Source organism: Homo sapiens, chromosome 4 (assembly GCF_000001405.40).
Source record: "Homo sapiens chromosome 4, GRCh38.p14 Primary Assembly".
NCBI lineage: Eukaryota > Metazoa > Chordata > Mammalia > Primates > Hominidae > Homo > Homo sapiens.
The window spans coordinates 151482368-151497884 of NC_000004.12; the positions used below are offsets into that span (position 1 = coordinate 151482368).

At 39.0% G+C, this 15517-nt stretch overlaps 1 protein-coding gene across 7 annotated transcripts in view, besides 5 other annotated features; it reads left to right on the forward strand.

Moving 5' to 3' along the window:
* Positions 1 to 15517, forward strand: part of FHIP1A (FHF complex subunit HOOK interacting protein 1A) — a 261328-nt gene that overhangs the window by 73192 nt on the left and 172619 nt on the right. For 4 of the 7 annotated variants that reach the window (XM_024454201.2, XM_011532221.3, NM_001109977.3 and 1 more), the window contains one exon: positions 157 to 281. The exons of the other annotated variants lie outside the window; for them this stretch is intronic. The gene's annotated coding sequence lies outside the window, so the exon portion shown is untranslated. The remainder of the gene's footprint in view (positions 1 to 156; positions 282 to 15517) is intronic. 7 annotated transcript variants of the gene reach the window in all.
* Positions 1543 to 2199: an enhancer, noted in NCBI's record as "OCT4-NANOG-H3K27ac hESC enhancer chr4:152405062-152405718 (GRCh37/hg19 assembly coordinates)". NCBI's record gives its function as "activates a minimal SCP1, AML or CMV promoter by ChIP-STARR-seq in primed H9 embryonic stem cells {active_cell/tissue: H9 hESC(primed)}" and the evidence as "EXISTENCE:reporter gene assay evidence [ECO:0000049][PMID:30033119]".
* Positions 2200 to 2855: an enhancer, noted in NCBI's record as "OCT4-NANOG-H3K27ac hESC enhancer chr4:152405719-152406374 (GRCh37/hg19 assembly coordinates)". NCBI's record gives its function as "activates a minimal SCP1, AML or CMV promoter by ChIP-STARR-seq in primed H9 embryonic stem cells {active_cell/tissue: H9 hESC(primed)}" and the evidence as "EXISTENCE:reporter gene assay evidence [ECO:0000049][PMID:30033119]".
* Positions 2955 to 3654: an enhancer, noted in NCBI's record as "H3K27ac hESC enhancer chr4:152406474-152407173 (GRCh37/hg19 assembly coordinates)". NCBI's record gives its function as "activates a minimal SCP1, AML or CMV promoter by ChIP-STARR-seq in naive H9 embryonic stem cells {active_cell/tissue: H9 hESC(naive)}" and the evidence as "EXISTENCE:reporter gene assay evidence [ECO:0000049][PMID:30033119]".
* Positions 3655 to 4353: an enhancer, noted in NCBI's record as "H3K27ac hESC enhancer chr4:152407174-152407872 (GRCh37/hg19 assembly coordinates)". NCBI's record gives its function as "activates a minimal SCP1, AML or CMV promoter by ChIP-STARR-seq in naive H9 embryonic stem cells {active_cell/tissue: H9 hESC(naive)}" and the evidence as "EXISTENCE:reporter gene assay evidence [ECO:0000049][PMID:30033119]".
* Positions 6456 to 7089: an enhancer, noted in NCBI's record as "NANOG-H3K27ac-H3K4me1 hESC enhancer chr4:152409975-152410608 (GRCh37/hg19 assembly coordinates)". NCBI's record gives its function as "activates a minimal SCP1, AML or CMV promoter by ChIP-STARR-seq in primed H9 embryonic stem cells {active_cell/tissue: H9 hESC(primed)}" and the evidence as "EXISTENCE:reporter gene assay evidence [ECO:0000049][PMID:30033119]".

The following is a 15517-nucleotide window of genomic DNA, read 5'->3' on the forward strand; positions in this document are numbered from 1 at the left end:
GCTTATTTATTTATTTTTTTATGGTGAAGACAAATGCACACTGGGAGAACCCACTCAGTGTACAACATGTAGTGGTAAATGCGAGCGGAGAAAAAATAGAGATACTCAGATTGGATTTTGCAGTTTATTAATTATTATTTTTATTCCTCTTCATAGATTTTTAAAGTCTTCTTCTAGGGGTTTCCAGCAGAGCCAAATGTTAGAAAAATCTTTCCGCTCCTCTGAAGAGTGAAGTGAGCAAATACAACCCAGCAGTAGGTTATTGAAGACAGCAGCCCCAGGTAATGTCTTCTTTTCTCATTATTATTGACATGTGTTCAGTAATGCTCAATAATATGTTATACTTTTTTTTTTTTAAAGCAAGTCTACTTGAACTTACACATCCATGTGAACATTATCTTGTTTAAAATGTCTTAGGGAGAGGCTGTACTCTATCCTCTATGTGAAGCATTTAAAAAATCTTTTCTTAAGAACTGCATCTTGACCCTCTGGTAGCATTCTTCTAAGCATCCTGTTTTCTCTAGTGGCAAATATCAACCTTGTAAGGATATACTTAGGAAATAGTCTAAACTCATTTAGAACTTGGGTGATGATCATACCTGGGGTTCTCTAATTTTGATCAAAACCAAGAAGGAGCAATAACATAAGGAAACCAATTTTTCTTTTTGTAATTTGAAGACTCATACACTGTATTGAAAATAAATTCTACGAAGTGACTGAGTTTCAAGCAATGGTAGTATTGTTAAAATAATTGTTCAGGCTTCATAATTTACAGAGGCATGTACTATTTATTTGACTATAAATGTTGATATTCTTTCTTATTAAAATCAATAAGTCAATCTGTTAGTATTGTAGAAGAGTTCCTATGTTAATCAGAAACTTCCTTATTAGATATACCTCTAATGCTTTATAATTTGCCTCTATAAATGATCTTCTTGTGGGGGTGGGGGGGTGTTTTGCAATATTTCCCAAAGTGTTACTAGAGTGCTTGCTAAAAAAACACATTAAAAATTTCATATTAGTAGGCCTGAAACTAGTGTATCAAAATCAGAATCAGAATGGTAGGGGCAGGACTTGGGAATCTGCATATTGCAAGTGAATGTCAACAGAGATTGACACTCTGGTCCAGTAAAATCAGACCTCTACCTAGGATCTTTGTAGTTTAAAAAATTTAGTGCAACTTATTGTGTAGACACAAAACAGCTATTTATGATTGTGTGCTTTTCTGGGAAGAGTAGGGGGAAGGGAGGCTTAGGGAAAGATTTGTTAAAGGATCCAAAATTATAGCTAGATAGGAGAAATAAGTTCTTCTGTTCTATACCATGGTAGGATGACTATAGTTAACTATCTAGCTGTAATTTTGTATCCTTTAAGAAATCTCTCCCTAACCTTCCCTTCCCCCTAGTCTTCCAAGTCTATCATTTTAGAGACAGTTTAAGATACGGAACAGAAAAGCTGATAATCATAAATAGCAGTTTTATGTCCACGTAGGACTTCTTATGAAGTTCTGTTTCTAATTAAGGTATTTCAGGAACAAAGTGGTATTGCATAAATTTGGAGCTCATTTTAGACTAAGATTTAATAATTGTTAATAGGCATTGAGCCTGTGTTTAAGTTTTATGTTAGCATTTGTTGGGTAATGACTTCTTAAATTCGGGATTTGACTCTGATGAACTCTGAGTTTTGGTCTTAAGTTTGGAATGTGTGTGTGTATCCTCTGTTACAGGGCTTTTCCCAGTTAACTCCAACCAATGAGAGCTCCTCTGATGTTTTAGGGAGCTTTAATTTCAAGGTCCTTAGCAGAATGAACATTCTTATGATAAAGAATTAGCCACTCATGAATCCTGGGGATAACCTATAGTCGTTTACAACCATTCACCTGTCTGTAGAGCAGAAGTTGTTTGGAACATGTTCTTGCCTCTTAGCTCTAGAAAGCAGCATGAGTGATAGAATGATATTTATACTGGTTTGGAAAAGGTCAGAAACCAAATATTGTTGCCTTAGACGTGAGGTTATTTTGAGTTGTGCAGGAGACTTTGGGAGTGGGGTGTGAAGAGTACAAAAACAAATATATGTAAAAGGGAAGGCCTGGCAAGGATACTAAGAAGGTAGAGGGAGTAGCTTAGGTGGTTGTAGGACTGACTTGGATAATGAAAGGATGTAACACTTGGGTGTATTGGTTTCTTCCGAGGAAATGATGGTGGATACTAAAGGTAGCATAACAAGGACCACCCAAGTGGAAAATGGGTTTGAAGATGGACTCTGAAAGCTTGAAGACAGTATGATGCAAAATGTGTATGATAGTCCTCAGGAGAGGCTGTCAGTAGAATTCATCTGTTATGAAATTTGGTTGTGTTCTCAGAACAGTGAGACAAATAGCAGGTGGATAGAGGCAATTACAGATATTCTGAGCTGTTGAGATAATTGTATATTTGAATATGCTATTTCAGGGTTAAAAGTCGTCTACATGAGAAAAGAAGAGCAGTTATGGCAGCATTAGAAGGCTCTCCTTTCTAATGTAATGCCAGGAATGTCTGAGTCATGCAGAATTGGGGTGGTGAGTGAGGAATGTTTCTCTGTGGCTTCCCTGGCTTTGTGTGGGGAGCCAGTGGGAAGCCATTTTCAAAAGTGGTTTTGAATAAAAATCTAGCCCCAAAACTGTTTTAGTAAATAACACAAAAATATACCTAAAAAGTGACTTGTTAGGGTCAAATAATCAAACCACCTACATAATGCTGTAAATCTGAAATTTGTTCATTTTGCACATATCTTTTCATAATTTTATCAATTTTTAAATTATAATCTGTGCCTTCTTTTGTAAATTTAGTCTTTTTAATTAATTCATCCATTTTGGTCTCTTCACATATTCTATGACCCTTATAATTTCTTTCGAGCATAGTTTGGATCTTTTCCAGTTTTTTTTTTTTTTTTTTTTGTCTGTTCTAATTGACCAGAATGGCTTAAAATAAATATGTATAATTTATGTTTGGTCGTGTTTTCCATTTCATTTTTAACATCATTTCTGAAATACCCTTGTCTTGGTCTTTAAGTGTATAGTGCCACACTGAACTGATGTACTCAGAGAAAAGTCTCTAACAACTCTAGTCTAGACTAGAGGTTCTCAAAGTGCGGTCCCCAGATGAACAGTGCAAACTTCACCTGGGAACTTGTTGGAAATGTAAATTCTTGGACTGAATCAGAAGCCCAGAGGGTGGAGCTCAGAGTTTTTTTTTTTTTTTTTGAGACAAATCCTCACTCTGGTTGCCCAGACTAGAGTGCAGTGGCACATTCTTGGCTCACTGAAGCTTTGACCTCCCGGGCTCAAACAATCCTCCCACCTCAGCTTCCTGAGTAGCTGGTATGACAGGCACCTGCCACCATGCCTGGCTAATTTTTTTATTTTTTGTAGAGACGGGTTTCACCATGTTGCCCCACCTTCTTGAACTCCTGAGTTCAAGCAATCTGCCCGCCTTAGCCTCCCAAAGTGTGGGGATTACAGGCGTGGGCCACTGTGCCTGGCTGAGGTTTATATTTAACAAGCCCTCTAGGTCAGCAGTCTCCAACCTTTTGGCACCAAGGACTGGTTTTGTGGAAGACAATTTTTCCATGGATGACGGGGATGGCGTGGCTTGAGAATGAAACTGTTCCATCTGAGATCATCAGGCGTTAGTTAGATTCTCATAAGGAGTGTGCAACCTAGATCCCTCACATGTGCATTTCACGATAAGGTTTGCGCTTCTATGAGAATCTAATGCCACTGCTGATCTAACAGGAGGTGGAGCTCAGGAAGTAAAGCTCACCCACTGCTTACCTCCTGCTTGGTGGCTTGGTTCCTAACAGGCCAGAGACTGGTACCAGTCTGGGTCTCAGAGGTTGGGGACCCCCTGCTCTAGGTGATTCTGATATGTGCTATTGTGCAAGCCATTTATTTTTTCTTGTCCTTGGTCTCCTGAGCAGATACATTACGGGTTCTCAAACTGTGTGCACATGAATCATCTGGTAAGCTTATTTTAGACATTTCAAGAAGCAGAGAATTTTTCCTGACCACATACCAGGAGATTTTGATTCAATACGTCTTGGATAACTCAGTTTATGTGCATTTTAACGAGCTCTCCAAAGTAGTTCTCATATCTATGATCTGGATTAAATGGATGTCTCTCACTTTCTTCAAGCCCAAAATTGATGTGATTTTAAATGGCTCTTTGGGTTTAGTAACTGAAAACTTGGGGCCAGAAATTTATTTGTAAAATGCAGTTTGGATTATTTTTTGCTGAAGTCAGATTATGTTCTGATTTCTTTCCTTGAAAAATATTTTCTTGCCGGGCGTGGTGGCTCATGTCTGTAATCCCAGCACTTTGGGAGGTCGAGGCGGGCGGATCGCCTGAGGTCGGGAGTTCGAGACCAGCCTGACCAACATGATGAAACCCCATCTTTACTAAAAATACAAAAATTAGCCGGGTGTGGTGTCAGGCACCTGTAATCCCAAGCTACTCGGGAGGCTGAGGCAGGAGAATCACTTGAACCTGGGAGGTAGAGGTTGCAGTGAGCCGAGACTGCGCCACTGCACTCCAGCCTAGGCAACAAGAGCAAAACTCCATTTAAAAAAAAAAAAAAGAAAAATATTTTCTTGCTTACTATATAATATTTTTCTGAGGCTTCTCCTTCTTGTTAAGGAAAAGAGCCTTTGGCCCTTAACTTGGAGATTTCATTATGCAGTTCTTCTAGGTAATTCTTTCAAATAGTAAACCTTAAAACACTATTCTAGGGAATGTCACTTTTTATTGAGATGTATCTTTTTGTCCCTGCCCTGTATTTCTTATCTTTAAGCCTGTTCCCTATGGATGATGGTATATTTTCCTCATCTCAATGTCATTCATATTTTTGTTTTTTTCTTTAGTTTTATGGTACTTCTTTATTAGAAGAATCGTTTGTGAGTCTTCCTCTTCTTTTCAGTCTTTTTTTTCTCTGTTCATCCCTTGGATTTAGGAAATTTCCAAGCTTTTTCTTCTTTCCACATCTCACCCACATGTTCTTCCCTCAGGGCCTGCTTTTTCATGTTGGCTAGGAACTTGCTCAGACATCACCTTAGCGTCCACTTTATAAAGTAGCATCCAACTCCCACAACTCTCTCCTAAGCTTTAGACCTGGATGTCCCACAGTCAGGTCAGGTTATCGTGTCTGGCATTGAACTCATTGTTCTTCACACCTGAAATCCGTGCCTTCTTTCATATTCCCTGTATTGGTAAATGGCATCACCATCAACCATCAACCAAATGTAGCTAACATTTATCAGGTGTTTCCTGTGTGCCAGGCACTATTCTAAGATCTTCCATGTAATTCCTTACAAAATCCTTTGAGATACATTCTATTATTTTTCTCATCGTACAAATAAGGAAACCGAACCACATAGAGTTTAAGAAATTATCTCAAGGTCACAAAAGGATTAATTAATGGAGATGGAATTCAAGCCAGGCTGTCTGGTTCTAGAGCATGTAGTCCTAATTACTGTGCTTTGCTGCCTTTCTTTTTCAGTGGCTCAAGCCAGAAATCTAGGATTATCCTTTACTTCATTTTCTTCCCTCTGCATATCTGCTTGGGACTCTTGAGTTCACCTGCTAAATCTCTCTTAAAACTACACTTCTGCTTCTCTACATTCATTGTAAGGGTTCTGGTCCAGACCTTCATCATCTCTCTTCTCAACTACTATAATTGGTGTTTTCTTTCCATTCATTTATGTTATGACTGGTGTATTCTGATCATGACACTCCTCTGCATTCACCAGTGTAGCTCCTCCACAATCAGTCATCCATTGTGGGCAATGCTTTTCTTTTATCCATATGTGCAGGTTTGTTATATGGGTATATTGTGTGATGCTGAGGTTTGGGGTATAAATGGTCCTGTCACCTAGGTAGTGAGCATAGTACCCAATAGGTAATTTTTCAGCTCTTTCCCCCCTCACTCTCTCTCCACTCTAATGGTCTCCAGTGTCTATTGTTCCCACTTATAAGTGAGAACATGTGGCATTTGGTTTTCTGTTCCTGCATTAATTCTCTTAGGATAATGACCTCCAGCTGCATCCATATTGTTGCAAAGGATGTGATTTCATTCTTTTCTAATGGCTGCATAATATTCCATCATGTACATATACCACATTTTCTGTATCCAGTCCACTGTTGATGAGCACCTAGGGTGACTCTATGTCTTTACTATTGTGAATAGTGCTGTGATTAGCGTGTGAGTGCATGTGTCTTTTTGGCAGAACAACTTATTTTCCTTTGGGTATATACCCAGTAATGGGATTGCAAATGCTGCCATAGTATTCCATTCTTTTCCTTTCATCTGACTCATCAAACTGTTTTAGTTGTTTGTTCAGTTACCTCTTTTAGACCGTGAGCTGCATCTTATTTATTTCTGTGCGTCTATCACCCAACGTAAGTATTCAATATTGATCATATGAAAGGACAAATGAATATTTAAATGAGCCAACTGATTTCTACCAATTCTACATGCTTCCTACTTTTGTAAAATAACTCGAGCTGGTGGAGAGAGAGTGGGAAAATGGCAGATAGGAGACAGGATTAACAGGCAGCTCCCACTTAGACAGACAGAACAGCATATGGAGACTCACATTGTGAAGTTTTGCTCCAAGAACCACCACAGGAACATACCAGGAAAACTGAAAGAATTCACAGACCCTTTGAAAGAAGCAGCTTACCGCTGCAAACTCTACGTGAGTTCCCAAGGTGTGAGAGGAGGAGAAGTCTGCCTCTGCACCCACATCCCACTGGGAACCTGAAAATCCTGAAAATCCAGCTCACAGGAGAAGGATTTAACCTCACCTAGAGCTGAAACGGATTTAGGGAGCTGAGTGAAATATAAAAGTAGAAGAAGTAGTGGGAAGAGCACTGTAGGCACTCCAGGTCCCCAGCTAGAGTCCAGGGAAGCCATTCCTGGCCTTATATCACAGGGGTCTTTGGGGAAGGGAAGGCAGCCAGCAGAATTGGGGAGGGGCCACAGAGTGAAGGAAACTCCTAGCTGAACTTTGTAATAATTTTGACTGAGCACGAATTTTCCTGAGTAGAATGTAGGGTTGAGGAGTGAACAGGAAGCGCGGATAGGAGTGCAGAAGCTACAGCCAAAGGTGCAGGCAGGTGGGGAGGGGCAAGGCCTGAGAGCCCTGCTTGCTTTCTCAGCAGGGAGGCTTGTAGCCTGGGGCAAGATCTCAGCCCTGCTTGCCAGCTGCTGGATATAAACTCAGTGCTGTTATCGAGGCATGGTGGGAGTGAGACTGGCCTTGCTGGGAGCTGGGTGAGACCTGTCATTGCCGACTTTCCCCGCTTCCCTGATGACCTGTAGGGTGCAGCAGAGGCAGGCATAATCCACCTGGGAACATAGCTCTATTGGCCTGAGAACTACCCTCCATCCTCCTCAGTGGCCGCAGCAAATCCTACCCAAGGAGAGTCTGAGTTCAGACCCGCCTAACCCTGTCCCCACCTGATGTTTTTCCTCTCCCCGCCCTAGTAGCCAAAAACACATAAACTCTTGGTTGGAAGTTCTATGGCCCCACCCATCACCTGAGAAACCAGAGCACTTATCTTTGCCTATGTAGGGCAAGGTTATATCCCCCTTCTACTACTGCAGCAAGTGCTCTCTTGAAAGCACCACCTCCTGGCTGGAAACCAACCACTTGAAGTTATTATAGCAACTCATAACAGAACCCTGCTCCAAAGAAGGAGAAAACAACAGCTAATTCCACTACCTGCAACACCCTGGCTAACCAGAGGTCGTGAGTCTGTCTGTGTGACAGCTTCACAGCTAGCATAACCAGCATTTGAGAAAACCAGTGCACTAAACAAAACTAAAACCAAGGACTCCCGCAGAGTCCACTTTACTCCCCTCCCACTTCCACCAGAGCAGGTGCTGGTATCCATGGCTAGGATACTTGAAGATGGATCACATCACGGGACTCTTTGCAGACATTCCCCAGCACCAGCCCAGAGCCTGGTAGGCCTACTGGGTGGCTAGACCCAGAAAGGCAATAACAATCACTGCAGTCTGTTTCTCAGGAAGCCGCATGTCTAGGGGAAGGGGGAGAGCACCACATCAAGGGATCACCCTGTGGGACAAAAAAATCTGAACAGCAGCTCTTGAGTTCCAGATCTTTCCACTGAAACAGTCTCCCCAAATAAGAGGGAACCAGAAAAGGAATTCTGGTAATATGACAGAATGTGATCCCCAAAAGATCACAAGCTACCCAGCAATGAATCCAAACCAAGAAGAAATCTCTGAATTGCTAGATGAAGAATTCAGAAGGTTGATTATTAATCTACTCAAGGAGGCACCAGAGAAAGGTGAAAACCGACTTAAAGAAATTAAAAAAAAAAACAGGATATGGATGAAAAAGTCTCCAGAGAAATAGGTATCATAAAGAAAAGATAATCACAACTTCTGGAAATGAAAGACCCACTTTGAGAAATGCAAAATACACTGGAAAGTTTCAGCAGTAGAATCGAACAAGTAGAAAGAACTTCAGACCTTGAAGACAAGGCTTTTGAATTAACCATCTGACAAAGACTAAGAAAAAAAGAATTAAAAAAATGAACAAAGCCTCCAATAAATTTGAGATTATGTTAAATGACCAAACATAATAATTGGTATTCCTAAGGAAGAAGAAAAATCTAAAAGTTTGGAAAACTTATTTGAGGGAATAATCAAGGAAAACTTCCCTGGTCTTGCTAGAGATCTAGACATCCAAATATAAGAAGCTCAAAGAACATCTGGGAAATTCATTGCAAAAAGATCATGATCTAGGCACATAGTCATCAGGTTATCTAAAGTCAAGACAAAGAAAAGAATCTTAAGAGCTGTGAGGCAAAAACATCTGGTGACCTATAAAGGAAAACCTATCAGATTAACAGCAGATTTCTCAGCAGAAACCCTACAAGCCAGAAGGGATTGGGGTCCTATCTTTAGCTTCCTTAAACAGAATAATCATCATCCAAGAATTTTGTATCCAGTGAAACTAAGCTTCAAAAATGAAGGAGAGATAAACTCTTTTTCAGACAAATGCTGAGAGAACTTGCTACTACCAAGCAAGCACTATAAGAAATGCTAAGAGGAGTTCTAAATCTTGACGCAAAACCTCAACATACACCAAAATAGAACCTCCTTAAAGCATAAATCTCACAGGGCCTATAAAACAATAACACAATGAAAAAAAAACACAAGGTATTGAGGCAACAACTAGCATGATGAATAGAGCAGTACCTCATATCTCAATACTAACGTTGAGCGTAAATGACCTAAATGCTCCATTTAAAAAATACAGAATGGCAGAATGGATAAAAATCCACCAACCAAGTATCTGCTGTCTTCAAGAGACTCACCTAACACATAGAACTCACATAAACTTAAGGTAAAGGGATAGAAAAAGATATTCCATGCAAATGGAAACATAGAAACCAAAAGCAAGCAGGAGTAGCTATTCTCATATCAGACAAAACAGACTTTAAAGCAACAACAGTTAAAAAGGACAAAGGGGAACATTATATAATGATGAAAGAATTAGTCCAGCAGGAAAATAACACAATTCTAAATATATATGCACCTAACACTGGAGCTCCCAAATGTATAAAAAAATTACTACTACACCTAAGAAATCAGATAGATGGCAACACAATAATAGTGAGGGACTTCAGTACTCCACTGACAGCACTAGACAGGTCGTCAAGACAGAAAGTCAACAGAAAAACAGTGGTCTTAAACTATACCGTAGAACAAATGGACTTAACAGATATTTACAGAACATTCCACCCAACAACTGCAGAATATACATTCTTTTCATCAGCCCATGGAACATTCTCCAAGATAGACTATAAGATAGGCCACAAAACAAGTCTCGATAAATTTAAGAAAATTGAGCTGGGGGCGGTTGTGTAATCCCAGCCACTTTGGGATTACATTCCTGTAATCCCAGCACTTTGGGAGGCTGAGGTGGGTGGATCACCTGAGGTCAGGAGTTCGATAACAGCCTGATCAATATGGTGAAACCCCGTCTCTACTAAAAATACAAAAATTAGCTGGGTGTTGTGGTGTGCACCTGTAGTCCCAGCTACTTGGGATGTTGAGACAGGAGAATTGCTTGAATCTGGGCGGCATAGGTTGCAATGAGCTGAGATCGTGTCATTGCACTCCAGCCTGGGTGACGGAGTGAGGCTGTGTCTCAAAAAAAAAAAAAAAAGAAAATTGCAATTATATCAAGTACTCCTCTCTCAGACCACAGTGGAATAAAATTGGAAATTAATTCCAACAGGAACCCTTAACACTATACAAATACATGGAAATGAAATAATCTGCTGCTGAATGATCTTTGGGTCAACAATGAAATCAACATGGACATTAACAAATTCTTTGAACTGAATGATAATAGTGACAACTGATCAAAACCTTTGGGATACAGCAAAAGCGATGCTAAGAGGACAGTTCATAGCAAATAAATGTCTACATCAAAAAGTCTGAAAGAGCACAAATAGATAATCTAAGGTCACTTCAAGGACCTGGAGAAACAAGAACAAACCAAACCAAAACCCAGCAGAAGGAAAGAAATAACAAAAATTGGAGCAGAACTAAATAAAACTGAAACAAACACAAAGGCAAAAGATAAATGAAACAAAACTTGATTATTTAAAAAGATAAACAAAATTGATAGATCATTAGATTAACCAAGAAAAGAAGAGAGAAGATGCAAATAAGCTTAATCTGAAATGAAATGGGAGATATTAAAACCAATACCACAGAAATACAAGAGATTATTCAAGGCTACTATGAACACCTTTATGGCTACAGACTAGAAAACCTGGAGGAAATGGATAAATTCCTGGACATATGCAACCCTCCTATATTAAACCAGGAAGAAATAGAAACTCTGAACAGACCAATAACAAGTAGTGAGATTGAAACAGTAATAAAAAAATTGCCAACAAATAAAGTCCAGGAACAGATGGATTTACAGCCGAATTCTATTAGACATTCAAAGAAGAATTGCTACCAATCCTACTGAAATGATTCCAACAGAAAAAGAGGGAATCCTCCCTAAATCATTCTGTGAAGCCAGTATTCCCTAATACCAAAACCAGGAAAGGACGTACCAAAAAAAAAGAAAATTACAGACCAATATCCCTGATTAACATAGAAGCAAAAATCCTTAACAAAATACTAGCTAACTGAATCCAACAGCATATCAAAAAGATAACGTACCATGATCAAGTGGATTTCATACCAGGGATGCAGGATTGGTTTAACATACACAAGTCAATAAATGTGATATACCACATAAACAGAATTAAAAACAAAAATTATATGATCATCTCAATAGATGCAGAAAATGTATTTGACAAAATCCAACATTGCTTTATGATTAAAATCCTTAGCAAAATCAACATTGAAGGGACATACCTTAAGGTAATAAAAGCTGTCTATAACAAACCCACAGCCAACATTATACTGAATGGGGAAAAGTTGAAAGCATTCCTCCTGAGGACCGGAACAAGACAAGGAAGCCCACTTTCACCACTTCTATTCAACATAGTACTGAAAGTCTTAACCAGAGCAATCAGACAAGACAAAGAAATAAAGGGCATCCAAATTGGTAAAGAGGAAGTCAAATTGTCCCTGTTTACTGATGACAGAATCAAATACTTAGAAAACCCTAAAAACTCATCCAAAAAGCTCCTTATAGATTCTGGATATTTGATCTTTGTTGGATGCATAGTTTGCAAATATTTTCTTCCATTCTGTAGTTTGTCTGTTTACTCTGTTGATAGTTTTTTTGCTGTGCAGTTGCAATTGCTGTTGGTGCCTTTGTCATGAAATCTTTGCCAGGGCCTATATCCAGGATGATACTTACTGGGATATCTTCCAGGGTTTTTATAGTTTTAGGTTTTACACTTAAGTCTTTAATTCACCTTGAGTTGATTTTTGTATATGGTATAAGGAGGAAGTCCAGCTTCAATCTTCTGTATATGGCTAGCTAGTTATGCCAGTACCATTTATTGAATAGGGAGTCCTTTCCCCATTGCTTGTTTTTGTCAACTTTGTTGAAGATCAGATGGTTGTAGATGTATAGCTTTATTTCTAGGCTCTCTATTCTGTTCCATTGCTCTATGGTCTGTTTTTGTACTAGTACCTTGCTGTTTTGGTTATTGTAGCCTTGTAGTATGGTTTAAAGTCTGGTAACATGATGCTCCAACTTTGTTCTTTTTGCTTAGAATTTCCTTGGCCATTTGGGCTTTTTTGAGGTTTCATATGAATTTTGAAATACTTTTTTCTAATTTTATGAAGAATGTCATTGGTAGTTTGACAGGAATAGCATTGAATCTGTAAATTGCTTTGGACAGTATGGCCATTTTAACAATATTTATTCTTCCTCTCCATGAGCATGGAATGTTTTTCCATTTGTTTGTGTCATCTCTGATTTCTCTGAGAAATTTACAATGACGATTTTGGACTTCTCATTGTAGAGATGTTTCACCTTCCTGGTTAGCTGTATTCCTAGGTATTTTTCTTTTTGTGGCTATTGTGAATGGCATTGTATTCTTGCTTTGGCTTTCAACTTGGATGTTATTGGTGTGTGGAAATGCTACAGTTTTTTATACATTAATTTTGTATCCTAAAACTTTGCTGAAGTTGTTTATCAGATTTAGGGGCTTTTGGGCAGAGACTGTGGGATTCTTTGGGTATAGAATCATATTGTGTGCAAACAGAGATAGTTTGACTTCCTCTCTCCTTGGATTATGCTCCTGATTTTATAAAATTGATCAAATTATTAGAAAGTATAGAAAAAAGAATGGAAAGGGGCCGAGTGTGGTGGCTCACCCCTGTAATCCCAGAACTTTGGGAGGCCAAGGCGGGCAGTTCATCTGAGGTCAGGAGTTTGAGACCAGCCTGGCCAACATGGCGAAACTCCATCTGTACTAAAAATAAAAAATTAGCTGGATGTGGTAGCACGCGCCTGTAGTCCCAGCTACTCGGGAGGCTGAGGCACAAGAATCGCTTGAACCTGGGAGGCAGAGGTTGCAGTGAGCCGAGATTGTGCCACTGCACTCCAGCCTGGGCAACAGAGTGAGACTGTTTCAAAAAAAAAAGAAAGTAAAGAAAAGAAAAAAGACTGGAAAGAAAGATATTGAAGTTTTAAAAGTGGTTTGTCTCTCATGTTGGTGCTATGAGTGATTTTTATTATCTTTTTGTTTGCTATATATTCTTTTTTTTTTTTTTTGAGATGGAGTTTCTTTCTTGTTACCCAGGCTGGAGTGCAGTGGTGTGATCTCGGCTCACTGCAACCTCCACCTCCCAGTTTCCAGTGATTATCCTGCTTCAGCTTCCCAAGTACCAGGGATTACAGGCATGTGCCACCATGCCTGACTAATTTTTCTATTTTTAGTAGAGACAGGGTTTTGCCATTTGGCCAGGGTGGTGTTGAACTCTTGACCTCAGATGATCCTCCCGCATTGGCCACCCAAAGTGCTGAGATTACAGGCATGAGCCACTGTGCCTGGCCTATATATTCTTTTCTTACAATGATTATATATTGTTTTATGATTTAAAAATACTGTTAAAAATAAACAATATGTCTACCGTTTTGATGATCAGCTGCTGCTTTGCTATTTAGGGTCTCAGCATGAAAGCTGAAATTTTAATATTGATGTTTTAATCAAGGAAGAATAAGCCCATGGCATATATATCCTATAGGATTTGGGATTTACATATTGGACATGTTTTCCTGCATTTGTTTAGAGATATTTCCTCCTTTTTATTCTAGTAATTTAGATCTCACCTAATGGAATCTAGTACATTAAATAAACAAAAGATTATATATATATATTTTTATATATATATATTTTTTCTTTCTTTCTGTGGCATTTGTTGTAGCTGTTGAAAACAAAAGCACCACAAAGCTTAAAAGCTTAAATACTCATATTCGGTAGCTTTGTAGTCCTGTGGCTGCTTTTAGCATCACCATTTCCAGGGCAATCCTGATATGAATATATATTTGTTTTTGGAGGGAAAGCTGAGAAGATTGTGGCACATTTGTGCTCTCATGTAGTTGACCCTTAAGAAAGATAATGTGTCCCACTGCCCTATTTCATATTCACAGACCCTATAGTCAGGAATAGATTACATTTATTTATTTATTAATTATTTGAGATAGAGTCTCACTCTATCACTCAGGCTAGGGTGCAGTGGCACAATCTCAGCTCACTGCATTCTCCATTCCCCCGGCTCAAGTGATTGATTTTCCCATCTCAGTCACTCTAGTAGCTGGGACCACAGGAGCATACCACCACGTCCAGCTTTTTTTTTTTTTTTTTGTATTTTTGATGGAGATGAAGTCTCACCATGTTGCCCAGGCTGGTTTTGAACTCCTGAGCTCAAGCTGTCTGCCCACTTTGTCCTCCCAAAGTGCTGGGATTACAGGTGTGAGCCACTGCCCTTGGCCAGGAATAGATTAATTATAGAGCTGTATTCCAGAATGCTAGATAAAGAGAGCAAGTATGAAAAACATGTTAAATATAAACCAAAAGAAACATATAAATATAATATAAATATAAACCAAAAGAAACAATAAAAGCAAATCCTGAAAGCAACAATATATAGCTGGGAATTTTGGGACCTGGGGATGGGAATGCAAGGTTTAGATTATGTTTAGCGGGAAAAAGGCAGATTCATGTAAACATTTTAGAGTGGTTTTCCTTAGGCTGTTTGAGAATGAGCAAATCTTTCTAATGTAAAAACATACTTCAGAATGCTACAAGATTCTGCCTCTAATTCTGTTATCTCTTAACTGAGAAAATAATATTGATAGAAAGTTACTTAAACTCTAATTATGCTTTTAAATAAATCCATATTTTGCTAAATATGACATTATCTATATGCCATCTATATTTATTCGAAGAGTGGGAATTAGTCTAATGTAGATTTCCCCAAACTATCTATGGCCCATGAACCAAATTTGGCCAGTCACCTGTTTTTTTATGGCCCACTAGCTAAGAATAGTTTTTAGATTTTTAAATAGTTGGGAAAAAAAGACAAGGAATAGGCATATTGAATGTATGTATCTTGCAAAACTTAAAATATTTACTCTCTGGCCTCTTATAGGAAAAGTTTATCAGCTTGTAGTCTAAAGCAGTTGTCACAACCAGGGGTGATTTTTGCCTCCAGAGGATATTTAGCAATGTGTTATTTTTGATTGTCACAACTTGTGTGTGTGTGTGTGCACATGCACACACATGCTAGTGGCAATCAGTAGGTAGAAGCCAGAGATGCTGCTGACCATGCACAGAAAGGCCCCCAGCAACAAAGAATTATCTGAGCCAAAATGTTGACAAGCATTGTCCTTGACCATGCTTTGTTTAGGCTCCTCTGAGCCCTCTTCTCGACTCAGCCATGACTTGTGGCCCCATCCTGTCTTTAGTCTGTCTAGCTAAGTTTTAGCGAGAATTCTGCTAAATCGGTTTGGTGA